Below are 12,650 nucleotides of genomic sequence, written 5' to 3'. Positions count from 1 at the left end.
CATACTTGCTGAGCACTTACTAGCTACCAGGTACAGAGAGGGCTGCGACACTGATGTGCCCTCTGAGAATTCACAGGCTTGATGAGCAGGTGAGTCACGTGGCCAGAGCACTGTGGTGAGTATTCACCATGCACCAGACTGTGTGCAGCGCTTGACTTACCCTTCCCACAACCACCTAGACAGGGGGTGCAGTTCTAACCTCTGTTTTATACTTTTAAACAATGAGGCCCAGGCCGGGCGCAGTGGCTCATGCCTGTAAACCTAGCACTTTGGGAGGCCGAGGCAAGTGGATCACCTGAGGTCAAAAATTCGAGACCATCCTGGCCAACATGGTGAAACCTCGTCTCTACTAAAAATACAAAAATTAGCCAGGCATGGTCGTGGGTGCCTGTAATCCCAGCTACTTGGGAGGCTAAGGCAGGAGAATTGCTTGAACCCAGGAGGTAGAGGTTGCAGTGAGCCAAGATCGTGCCATTGCACTCCAGCCTGGGCTTCAGAGAAACAGTGTGTCTCAAAAACAAACAAACAAAAAAAAACAAGGCCCAAAGAGGTCAAGTACCTGTCCCAAAGTCTAGGCAGCAGGAGAGCCAGGCTTGACCCCACATTTGAGCACACCGCTTCAGCCCTATACCTGACAGACAACCCCTGCGGCAGACCTCAATCCCAATGTCATTGCAGGGGGAAGCGTTGTTACGGGTGTAGGCACTGGAGCCAGAATGGCTGGGTTCAAGCCCCTGCTCTGTGACTTACTAGCTGTGGGCCTGTGGAAAGTTAGGCAATACGTGAAAAACAATCCAGGCCTCCGTCTCTTCATCTGTAAAATGGGGGTTATATAAACCCTCTGCCTCTGAAGGGTGGTCTAACACGGGTCCCCAGCCCCCAGGCCGCAGACCAGTACCAGTTCGTGGCCTGTTAGGAACCAGGTCACGCAGCAGGAGGTGAGCGGTGGGTGAGCGAGCATGGCCACCTGAGCTCCGCCTCCTGACAGATCAGTGGCAGCATTCGATTCTCATGGGCATGTGAACCCTATTGTGAAGCACGCAGGGAAGGGATCTAGGTCCCATGCTCCTTATGAGAATCTAATGCCTGAGAATCTGAGGCGGAACAGTTTCATCCCAAAACCATCTCCCCCACTCCAGTCCATGGAAAAATTGTCTTCCATGAAACCGGTCCTGGTGCCAACAAGGTTAGGGACCGCTGGTCTAAAGGACACTGGGCGATATACAAATTGCTGTACAAATGACGGATGGACTTCAGCTTTCTCATCTCTAAAACAAGGTTGTTACGAGGATTCCCTGAGGCAGTGCATGCAAAATGCTTAGAACTGTGCCTGGCACATAGTAGAAGCCTGGTAAGTGTCAGCTAGTCTGATTAGATGAAGTGCAGCAGGGATACAGAAGAGAGAGGGCTTGGCTCCCAGGAGCTACTTTCTACAGCAGGTGGCAGTCAAGGGGCACTTAAGACCAAACTACCCAGCAGCCTCAGGGACAGAAGTACCTGCCCTAGGACAGCAGCTCCTTCCATTTGGTAGTTTTGAAAGTCTACCTTGTGTTGTCCCCAAATGTGCCTGAGGTCATCCTTAATCAACAGACTCCTAGAAGAGCCAGGGAGTGGGGAGGTGAACATAGGTTAAGTCAAGTGAACTCCAGGCTTATTCACTTAAAAATTATGTTAGCCTCAATCCTGTATGTCAGCTGACATGGGGGTGTGGGTGTCAGACAGCAGGTACTGAGAAGGCACCTCCTGCAGTGAGAAGATGCTTGTCATTGTTCCCTGCACCGTCCACATCATTCCTTATCTGTAGAGCTGTTTCCTCACGTTGATTCTTAGAATGAGCACTGGCAGATGAAGAGATGAGGTCTGGGCCATTTTCACTGCATCACCCTAGGTCGGACACCTGTAAGTGAGAGCAGAGCCAAGGCTGAACTCAGGCCTCGAGCTCATCTGGGGAGAGCATGTTTCTTTTCAGCACTTAATCAAAGCCTGACTGGATGGGTTAGATCAGTGGATTCCCAATCCTGGCTAAACATACAAGTCATCCAGAGCGGGTGTGTGTGTGTGTTTAATATACATTCTCGTCTCCTGATTCATTGAGTCTGGGATTGGACCTAGGAATCTGGTTTCTTGGTTGTTTTGTTTTGTGTTGAGATGGTCTCACTGTGTTGCCTAGGCTGGAATGCAGCAGTGCAATCTCAGCTCACTGCAGCCTCAACCTCCCAGGCTCAAGTGATCTTCCCACCTCAGCCTCCTGAGTGGGGCCACAGGCATGTATCACCGTGCCCAGCTAATTTTTTTTTATTATTATTTATAGACACAGGGTCTCACTATGTTGCCCAGGCTGGTCTCAAACTCCTGGGCTCAGGCAATCCTCTCACCTTGGCCTCCCAAAGTGCTGGTATTACAGGTGTGAGCTGCCATCCCCAGCATGCATTTATTTATTCATTCATTCATTTATTTTCTGAGACAGGGTCTCACTCTGTTGCCCAGACTGGAGTGCAGTAGTGCGATCAGGGCTCACTGCAACCTCAATTTCATGGCCTCAGGTGATTCTCCCACCTCAGCCTCCTGAGAAGCTGGGACTACAGGCATGCCGCCTTGCCCAGCTAATTTTCTGTACTTTTTTTGTAGAGATGGGGTCTCCTTTTGTTGCCCAAGCTGGTCTTGAACTCCTGGGCTCAAGTGATCCACCTGCCTCAGCCTCCCAAAGTGCTGGGATTATAGGCATGAGCCACTGCTCCCAGCTGGAATCTGTATTTTTCAACCTTTCCCAGAGATTCTGAGAGCAGGGTTTATAAAGGAACCAGGGTTGGAGTAGAAGCGCCATGGCAGGTTCAGGAAGGGCTCTGTCTCTGCCTTGCATCCACTCTTTGTTCTCTTTGGACTTTTCAGGCGTGGAGGAACCATGGTAACCTATGGGGGGATGGCCAAGCAGCCCGTCGTAGCCTCTGTGGTAAGCTGGGTGCAGAGGGAGGCATGCCTGGAGCCGGGCCAGACACCTCAGCCAGGCCACATCCCCTGGCACGACAGCTGTCTAAGCTTAGGCAATGCCCCGTTCCTGGAGGGGAGTCTGTACCCTTAAGCGGTACCTGAAGTTCTTGCCCTCAGAGCCCAGCATGTCCTTCCTGTGTCTGCAGAGCCTGCTCATTTTTAAGGATCTCAAACTTCGAGGCTTTTGGTTGTCCCAGTGGAAGAAGGATCACAGTCCAGGTGAGTGCATGGCCCAGTGCCAAGAGTCACAGATGAGGGCAGTGCCTAAAAATGGCAGCAGAAATGACCAGCTATTCTGAGCCCTGGAGGGGTGATTGGGTCCCCAGCCCCACAGAAGGATCAAAGAGAATAGCCTTAGTCCAGCTACAGTCAGCAAACAGTTATTGGACTAAACTGGGTTAGTCTTAGGGGCGCAGAACAAGACAGACACTGCCCCCGTCCTGAAGAGCTGACAGTGGGGAAAGATGGATAGCCAAACAGAGAGAATAGACTCTGGAGCCAGCCTGCCTGGGTTCAAATTCTGCTTCCACACTACTGGATAGAGGTTCTGCCTAGCCAGCAGTGGGACCTTGAGCAAGTTACTTAATCTCTGCCTCAGTTTAAATGTCCTAAGTTTAAACTCTTGTTAGCCGTGTTTGACAGAGGAGGAAATTGAGGTTCAGAGTGGTTAAGTAGCGTGCCCAAAGTCACCTCCCTGCAGGGAGGTATGAGGCACGATGTAAACAGATCATCTCCCTGTTCATCTCCTGGAGGACTGGCTCCCCAGAGCGGGATCTCCAAACTCAGGACAAAGAATAACATGGAGTTATCCAAGTGAAGGGGAGGAAGGTGGTGGCATGAAGGCAGTGTTTCAGGCAGAAAATATCGAAAATCACACGTGCAACTAGGCACTGAAGCGGTTCCGAGCGACCTGGAGCACTAGATCTGAGCTGGGGCTGGAAAATTGGGTGAGTGGGTTGTGACCAGGTTACAGAGGCCTTATAAACCTGATTAAGGCATTCAGACTCATGGGTTTTTTTGCTGTTTTGGGGGGTTATTTTTTTTGAAACAAGGTATCGCTCTGTTGCCCTGGCTGGAGTGCAGTGGTGTGGTCACAGATCACTACAGACTCAACCTCCTCGGTTCAGGTGATCCTCCCACCTCAGCCTCCCAAGTAGCTAGGACCACAGGCACACGCCACCACATCCAGCTAGTTTTTGTATTTTTAGTAGAAATGGGGTTTCATCATGTTGCCCAGGCTGGTCTCAAACTCCTGGGCTCAAGTGATCCACCCACCTCAGCCTCCAAGAGTGCTGGGATTACAGGCGTGAGGCACCACACCCAGACAAGACTCACGCTTAAAGGCAACTGAGGAGCCAGTATAGATGACTAGATTTGAAGGCTGAATGAATTTATGTCTATGGAAAAACACTTCTCAGCCGAGGCCTTCACTTCTCAACTTCCTGTACCATATAGGGTCCTTCGCAGGAGGCAGGCCCAGGAAGGGGATGTTGGTGGCGTCCGGTCGTGGGGTTCTAAGGGAGTCCTGGGCTCTCAGGGAGAGCTCCATTTCCTGAGCAGAGCTCAACTGTTCCACATCACTTGGCGTGCCAGGCATACCCACTCCCTCTCTGGGCCTCCTCTGGCCTCCCTGCCTCCGCCATCCTTTTCCTCCCACCATTCAGTGCTCCTGTCTCCACTGTGGCCAGGTTCTGTGAGTCTGTGCCATCTTAGCCACCACTCTGAAGGGTGGTCTCTGCCTGTCTGCCCCTCAGCCCCTAGAGCCGCTCCTATGTTCCCCTCTCCCCACCTTGACCTCACTGTCCTAAAGACAGGCAGGGACCAGGCTGCCTCCACAGCCACCCTATCCTTGGCACAGCCAGGACTCTCAAGGCTTTATTGGAGCTTGGTGCCAGCTCCTGCCCATAGGGCAGCCCCGTGCCACATCTCACCAAGCCCCAGCTGCTGTTCTCTTGTCTGATTTCCTCCAACCTCCCGCAGACCAGTTCAAGGAGCTGATCCTCACACTGTGCGATCTCATCCGCCGAGGCCAGCTCACAGCCCCTGCCTGCTCCCAGGTCCCGCTGCAGGACTACCAGTCTGCCTTGGAAGCCTCCATGAAGCCCTTCATATCTTCAAAGCAGATTCTCACCATGTGATCATCCCAAAAGAGCTGGAGTGACATGGGAGGGGAGGCGGATCTGAGGGGCTGGGTGCAGGCCCCTCAGTTGGGGCTCCCACCTTCCCCAGACTACTGTTCTCCTCACTGCCTCTTCCTATTAGGAGGATGGTGAAGCCAGCCACGGTTTTCCCCAGGGCCAGCCTTAAGGTATCTAATAAAGTCTGAACTCTCCCTTCCAAAAAGTAGAAGTCATCCCTGTCGAGAAGGACCAACACTGTGCACTGGTCAGCTCACAGCACCAAGAGGCCCCCTTCCTGCTTTTCTGTCATGTGTTCCCCCAGTAATCATTTTCTGACCACCCTGAAAGCAAAGCCTGGGTGGGTACTGGCAGTGCAAAGGCCAGTAGGCCACCATCCCTGGCCCCAAGCTGCACAAGCCCACAGACGAGGGTCCTGTAGAACAAACGCTTTGATGTGCTTCTCAGGTAGCCTGCGGCCCAGTCCAGGGCTTGGGGAGGATCAGCTGCATGGAAGAGTGAATGCCAGGCTGAGGTCATCAGGGCCCTGAGGAACTTGGACGTGGGGTCTTCACTCTCATGGAACTGCCCTTCTAACTGGAGACATAGACAATATACCAGTGGTTCTCAACCAGAGGCAATTTTACCCCCAGGAGACATTTGACAATGTCTGGGGATATTTCTGGCTATCACAGCTTATGAAGGAGGTTGCTACTGGCATCTAGCAGGCAGAGTGAGTGCTGCTGTTAAACCCACCACAGGACACAGAACAGTCTACTGCAACAAAGAATTACCCAAGGCCTGGCGCGGTGGCTCACACCTGTAATCCCAGCACTTTGGGAAGCCAAGGCAAGCGGATCACTTGAGCCCAGGAGTTCAAGGTCAACCTAGGTAACGTGGTGAAACACCATCTCTACAAAAAATACAAACATTAGCCAGGTATGGTGCTGTGCACCTGTAGTCCCAGCTACTCGGGAGGTTGAGGTGGGAGGATCACCTGAGCCTGGGAGGTCTAGACTGCAGTGAGCCATGATCATGCCACTGCATTCCAGCCTAGGCAACAGAGCAAGACCCTATATCAAAAAAAAAAAAAAAATCTAGCCCCAAATGTTCAATGTTCATGAGGTCGTTGATAAACCGTGCATTAAACAATCTCACAGTAATTACCATAGTGACTAATGCTGTAAAGAAGATATGTGGGGTGCTGTAAGAGCAGAATAAAGATCTTGCCCTAGGCCCCAGGGACAGGGGTATGCTTCCTTGAGGTGAAGTTTGAAGGTGGGCTCTCACAAATGAGTGAGCTTTATTCAGGCCGAGAGAAGAGCTTGACGTGACTTTTTGGTATTTGCTTCACGATTCATTTGCTCAAAGCAAAGAACAGAGGCTTCAGGGTGTCTCCCTTATCACCTGGCCCTCTGTACCCTGCACTCAGGAGCCTCATTCAGGACGTATTTATTGAGTGCCTAGTGTGTGCCCAAAGCTAAGGATACCAATGAAAGAAGTGCTGCTGGCCCTCAGGTTGCTTAGCCTAGTGCAAGATTGACCAGTATAGTATAATGATGAGGTCACTGACATGGAGGTGTTCAGAGGGCCTTGAGAGGACACACAGGGGCCCCAGTTCTGCCCGAGGGCATCAAGGAAGGATTCCTAGAGGAAGTGTCTCCCACAGCCAGTCTTGAAAACCGAGCAGGAAACTGCGTACCAAGCAAAGCCAACAGCACATGAGAGTTTAGAGGCCTGAGAGCCTGGCACTCAGGGAACTGCAGTCAAGTGTAGCTGCTGCCTTAGACGTGGGGGAAATGTGGGAACTGAGGTGGGAGACATGGGTGAGGTACAGATCACAAAGGACCATGATGTCAGGGCTTACCCTGAAGCCCTAGGGAGGCACCAAGGGATTTTAGGCAGTGGAGCAATATGGAAAAAACTGGCTCGGAATGTTTGTTTTTTTTTTTGAGACGAAGTCTCACACTGTTGCCCTTGCTGGTGTGCAGTGGGCGATCTTGGCTCGCTGCAGCCTCAACCTCCTGGGTTCAAGCGATTCTCCTTCCTCAGCCTCCCGAGTGGCTGGGACTACAGGTGTATGCCACCACACCTGGCTAATTTTTGTATTTTTAGTAGAGATGGGGTTTCACTATGTTGGCCAGGCTGGTCTTGAACTCCTGACCTCGTGATCCACCCACCTCGGCCTCCCAAAGTGCTGGGTTTACAGGCGTAAGCCACCACACCCGGCCAGAAGGTTTAATTGCATGCCAGTTTGAACATGGACTCCCAGCATAATCATCTTTTCTTTGGAAGCATCTTTTATGTCCGCTGGAAAAAAGGACTCAGCTTCAGCCTGGGGCTGGGAAAGGTCTGCATTGCCCTCTGGGGAATATTTGCCACCTTCTGGGCTCAAGATCAGCCCCAACTCTTTCCTGGTCCCTGTCCTCTAGGTTAGTGGGACAAGTGATTGTACAGATGATCAGTGCAGGCAAGTGAAAAAAGCCTTAGAAGGAGGGAAGGCTGCCAGAGGCCACAGGAGTAAAATTAAGATTAGGTTCTTTAGGCCAGGTGAGGTGTCTCACACCTATAATTAGACAGGCGTGCTGGTACATGCCTGTAGTCCCAGCTACTCAGGAGGCTGAGGCAGGACAGTCACTTGAACCTGGGAGGCGGAGGTTGCAGTGAGCTGAGATCACGCCACTGCACTTCAGCCTGGGCAAGAGAGAGAGACTCTGTCTCAAAAAAAAAAATAGGATTCTTCAAGGGGAATCCATAAGGTTGGGGTTTAGGGAGAGTGGTGAGCCTGAGTCCTGGTGAAGGAGCAGGCCCCTGGTGCCCACTCTAAGAGCAGGCATACAGGAATGTTTGTAACACCACGCTTCAAGATCTGGAGGAACGTGCAGAATGCCTGAGAACAGTGAAGGCAATGATTCCTTGTACCTTTAGGGGTCTGGAGGTGACATTTGGGCTGGTCTTCAAAGGATGATTATAATTTATTCAGGGAAGGGTGACAAGCATTACAGACGAAGAGAGCAGATTAGGCAGTTACAGAGACAGGGTATTTATGTTAGAACTGTCTCATTTTCTCCATTCTCTTCCTGAGAATTAAAACCTACAACTTTTAGGTGGGTACATGGCAGGCCGGAATAAACACTGTTTCTCTGCATCCCTTGCAGCTAACAAGATCTGCCCCCGCAAGTGATGTAAGCAGAGGTGTTAGGCGTCAGTTTCTTAGGAACCTCTTTTTTTTTTTTTTTTTTTTATTTGGAGAGATGATGGAGTCTTGCTCTGTCACCTACGTTGGAGTGCAGTGGTGCAATCTCGGCTCACTGCAATTTCCACCTCCCAGGTCCAAGTGATTCTCCTGCCTCAGCCTCCCGAGTAGCTGGGATTACCTGCCACCACGCCCAGCTAGTTTTTGTTATTTTTAATAGAAACAGCGTTTCACCATGTTGGACAGGCTGGTCTCGAACTCCTGACCTCAGGTGATCCGCTGGCCTCTGCCTCCCAAAGTGCTGGGATTACAGGTGTAAGCCACTGCGCCCTGCCCAGGAACCTCTTTAAAATATAGCAGGCCTGCATCCTGTACCTTTTTCTTCCCCTTCCCCTTCCACCCTCCTTATAGCTGTGGTACACAGACATGATTCCTGGAGTTTACCCAGCCATCTTTGACTACGGTTTTTTTTTGTTTTGTTTTGTTTTGTTTTTTTGAGACGGAGTCTGGGTGGCGCGATGTCGGCTCACTGCAAGCTCCGCCTCCCGGGTTCACGCCATTTTCCCGCCTCAGCCTCCCGAATAGCTGGGACTACAGGCGCCTGCCACCGCGCCTGGCTAATTTTTTTGTATTTTTAGTAGAGACAGGGTTTCACTGTGTTAGCCAGGATGATCTCGATCTCCTGACCTCGTGATCCGCCCGCCTCAGCCTCCCAAAGTGCTGGGATTACAGGCGTGAGCCACCGCGCCCGGCCTTGACTATGTACAGCAAGATCAAAGGAGCCTGGCTCCCTGACACCCAGAATCCCCAACTGCCCACCTCAGGACTTGTTTTACATGAGAAATAAGCGTCTGTTTTATTCAAGCCCCTAGTATTTGGGGTTTCACTGAACCTAATCCTAAGTAATACAAATTCAATGGTTTAACTTAGATTGAAATCAAGTCAATCTGAAGCCGAAAAAGGGAATCGTGGCAGTTTATGATTCCCAGCTAAGGAATTTGGACTTTATTGTGTTGGCAGTAAGGAACAAAAGATTTCTGAGACAGAAGATCAGAACTGTGCTTTGAAAAAAAATCCCTCCAGCAGTAGCCCGGAGGACAGTTTGGAGGAGGGAAGCACTAAAGAAAGATAAAATCAGAGACTCCCAGGTTCTGAATTTCAGGTAGGTAAGCCCACCCCGCCCCCTTCCACTAAATGTCAAAGACCAACCAGGGGTTGCCGACATTTCAGAGGCCAACATTGGAAAGGAAACAGTGCCAAAAGAGAATTGGACTTAAAATGGATCCTCTCTTCTCTACTTTACAAGTGCAGGAGATTGTTTTTAATTTCAGACGGTCCGGGCACAGCGGCTCATGCCTGTAATCCCAGCACTTTGGGAGGCTGAGGCGGGCAGATCACTTGAGCCCAGGAGTTCGAGACCAGCCTGGGCAACATGAGGAGACCCCCCCCCAACCCATCTCTACAAAAATACGAAAATTGCCTGGGTGTGGTGGCTCACACCTGTAACCCCAGCACTTTGGGAAACTGAGGCAGGCAGATCACCTGAGGTCAGTTCCAGACCACCCTGGCCAACATGGTGAAACCCCGTCTATACTAAAAATATAAAAATTCGCCAGACACAGTGGCTCACACCTGTAATCCCAGCACTTTGGGGGGCCAAGGCAGGCGGGTCACCTGAGGTCAGTTCGAGACCACCCTGGCCAACATGGTGAAACCCCGTCTCTACTAAAAATACAAAAATTAGCCGGGAGTGGTGGTGCACGCCTGTAATTCCAGTTTTTCAGGAGGCTGAGACAGGAGAATTGCTTGAACTCAGGAGGTAGAGGTTGCAGTGAGTCGAGGTCGCACCATTGCACTCCAGCCTGGGCAACAAGAGTGAATCTCCGTCTCATACAAAAAAGTTAACATAGGCTGGGCGTGGTGGCTCACGCCTGTAATCCCAGCACTCTGGGAGGCAGAGGCAGGCAGATCATGAGGTCAGGAGTTCAAGATCAGCCTGGCCAACATGGTGAAACCCCATCTCTATTAAAAATGCAAAAATTAGCCGGGTATGGTAGCGGGCGCCTGTAATCCCAGCTACTCGGGAGGCTGAGGCAGGAGAATTGCTTGAACCCGGGAGGTGGAGGTTGTAGTGAGCCAAGATCGCGCCATAGCACTCCATCCTGGGCAACAAGAGTGAAACTGTCTCAAAAAAAAAAGACAAATAGGCATTACCTGCTAAAAAAAAGCTTGAGCGCACCTGAAGCCCTGCAGCTTCCTGACTCTGCCATCTCTCCCTGTCCTCTTCTGGGACCATCCACCCAGTGACTACCTATAGTTGCTGCCACAATATTGGTAAATGGAGGCCAGGCGCAGTGGTTCATGCCTTTAATCCTAACACTTTGGGAGGCCAAGGCAGGCAGATAGCCTCAGGTCAGGAGTTCGAGACCAGCCTGAGCAACATGGAGAAATCCTGTCTCTACTAAATTAATTTGTACTAAAAATACAAAATTAGCCGGGCGTGGTGGCAGGCACCTGTAATCCCAGCTCGTTGGGATGCTGAGGTAGGAGAATTGCTTGAACCCAGGAGGTGGAGGTTGCAGTGAGCCAAAATTGCACCACTGCATTCCAGCCTGGGCAACAGAGTGAGACTCCATTTCAAAAAAAAAAGTAAACTCCAAATCCTTCCCATGATCCTTGAGGCCCCTCAAGATCTGGTCTCTCCAGGAGTTCGAGGCTAGCCTGGCCAACATGGTGAAACCCCATCTCTACTAAAAATACAAAAATTAGCCAGGCATGGTGGTGTGCGTCTTTTTTTTTTTTTTTTTTTTGAGACAGAGTCTTGCTGTGTTGCCCAGGCTGGAGTGCAGTGGCACAATCTCAGCTCACTGCAAGCTCCGCCTCCTGGGTTCACGCCATTCTCCTGCCTCAACCTCCCGAGTAGCTGGGACTACAGGCGCCCACCACCACGCCTGGCTAATTTTTTTGTATTTTTAGTAGAGATGGGGTTTCACCATGTTAGCCAGGATGGTCTCGATCTCCTGACCTCATGATCCACCCACCTGGGCCTCCCAAAGTGCTGGGATTACAGGCGTGAGCCACCTCGCCTGGCCTGTGGCGTGCATCTTTAGTTCCAGCTACTTGGGAGGCTGAGGCAGGAGAATCGCTTGAACCCAGGAAGCAGAGGTTGCAGTGAGCTGAGATCGCACCACTGCACTCCAGCCTGGGTGACAGAGTGAGACTCTGTCTCAACAAAAAAAGGAAAAAAAATTTGATAAATGTGTTTTCTTGGGATATGAGATAATTACGCACACTTTCCTCAGGGGAAGACTGAGGCCGAGAAGAATAAAGCTCTTGCGGCCAGGCATGGTGGCTCACGCCCGTAACCCAGCACTTGGGGAGGCTGAGGTGTGCAGATCACCTGAGGTCAGGAGTTCGAGACCAGCCAACATAGTGAAACACAGTCTCTACTAAAAATACAAAAAAAATTACCCAGGCATGGTGGCTCATGCCTGTAGTCCCAGCTACTCGGGAGGCTGAGGCACGAGAATCGCTTGAACCCGGAGGCGGAGGTTGCAGTAAGCCGAGATCTCACCACTGCACTCTAGCCTGGGCAACAGAGTGAGACTCGGTCTCAAAAAAGAAAAGAGAAAAGCTCTTGCGTTAACCTGTGTGTGCCAGGCTGTACTTGTGCATGGAAACTCTCAGAACACCCACCAGCCCCATGCTTATTGTCAGGCACCATGCCCTGAGTAAAGCACTAGGCCAAGCCACAGCAGCTGGAAATGGTGGAGAAGAGAAGGCTCAGTCCTGGCACAACATCTGCTTGCATCTGAAGGCAGGAACATTCCTGGGAAGACAGCAGGGCTAGCTGAAAGGTAAGTGGAAAGGAGACATTGGCACCTTATGAAAGAGAAAAAAGAGATTCTTAGAAATTTCCTATGTCATTGAGATGTTAATGTCACCACTTTACAGAAGCAGCAGCCTCCCAGAGATGTGAAGTGAGTTGTTCCAGATCACACAGCAGGCAGCAGAGCTGGCACTAGAAGCCAGATCCCCTGACCATATCTGGTCACTACAGCAGACAGTCCCAATTCTTTTGGCTCCACAGGTGGCCTTGGAGGTCCCACTCTTCTCACGAGTCCTTGATTTTGTTCTTGACATGTCAACTGGAAGAGCATTCAAATTTCCCTGAGTCTGTGTCTCATGGGGAGGCATGAGAAAAAGGCAGAATCAGGAGGCCATTGAAGTAGTCCAGGTAAGAGATTATTTATGTATTCATTCAATAAGTATTTTAAACGCTCTTTATGTGAAAGGCACTGTTGTTAGGGGCTAGGGATAGAGCAGGAAACAAAAAACATGGCCCCTGA

The 12,650-nt window shown here is 50.9% G+C and overlaps 1 protein-coding gene across 22 annotated transcripts in view, besides 3 other annotated features; it reads left to right on the top strand.

The window, feature by feature from the left end:
• The window catches only part of MECR (mitochondrial trans-2-enoyl-CoA reductase), a 63,239-nt gene that overhangs the window by 31,787 nt on the left and 18,802 nt on the right, over positions 1 to 12,650 (top strand). For 11 of the 22 annotated variants that reach the window (NR_146212.2, NR_146214.2, NM_001349717.2 and 8 more), the window contains 3 exons: positions 2,890 to 2,950; positions 3,135 to 3,207; positions 4,969 to 6,491. Coding sequence is in view for 15 of the 22 variants with exons in the window: in NM_001349717.2 (NP_001336646.1) it covers positions 2,890 to 2,950; positions 3,135 to 3,207; positions 4,969 to 5,126 (292 nt within the window). In the remaining 7 variants the exon portion in view is untranslated. Of the gene's footprint in view, positions 1 to 2,889; positions 2,951 to 3,105; positions 3,208 to 4,968; positions 6,492 to 12,391; positions 12,539 to 12,650 lie in introns of those variants that run through there. The other 11 variants (XM_047422042.1, XM_011541540.3, XM_011541546.2 and 8 more) reach the window with 4 other exon arrangements.
• Positions 371 to 871: an enhancer, noted in NCBI's record as "H3K4me1 hESC enhancer chr1:29524789-29525289 (GRCh37/hg19 assembly coordinates)". NCBI's record gives its function as "activates a minimal SCP1, AML or CMV promoter by ChIP-STARR-seq in naive H9 embryonic stem cells {active_cell/tissue: H9 hESC(naive)}" and the evidence as "EXISTENCE:reporter gene assay evidence [ECO:0000049][PMID:30033119]".
• Positions 11,245 to 11,889: an enhancer, noted in NCBI's record as "NANOG-H3K27ac-H3K4me1 hESC enhancer chr1:29513771-29514415 (GRCh37/hg19 assembly coordinates)". NCBI's record gives its function as "activates a minimal SCP1, AML or CMV promoter by ChIP-STARR-seq in primed H9 embryonic stem cells {active_cell/tissue: H9 hESC(primed)}" and the evidence as "EXISTENCE:reporter gene assay evidence [ECO:0000049][PMID:30033119]".
• Positions 11,890 to 12,535: an enhancer, noted in NCBI's record as "OCT4-NANOG-H3K27ac-H3K4me1 hESC enhancer chr1:29513125-29513770 (GRCh37/hg19 assembly coordinates)". NCBI's record gives its function as "activates a minimal SCP1, AML or CMV promoter by ChIP-STARR-seq in naive H9 embryonic stem cells {active_cell/tissue: H9 hESC(naive)}" and the evidence as "EXISTENCE:reporter gene assay evidence [ECO:0000049][PMID:30033119]".

The sequence above is a fragment of the Homo sapiens genome, chromosome 1, assembly GCF_000001405.40.
Source record: "Homo sapiens chromosome 1, GRCh38.p14 Primary Assembly".
NCBI classification, from domain to species: domain Eukaryota; kingdom Metazoa; phylum Chordata; class Mammalia; order Primates; family Hominidae; genus Homo; species Homo sapiens.
Note: the sequence above shows the minus strand (reverse complement) of the source record. Positions and strands in the feature narration are given on the sequence as shown.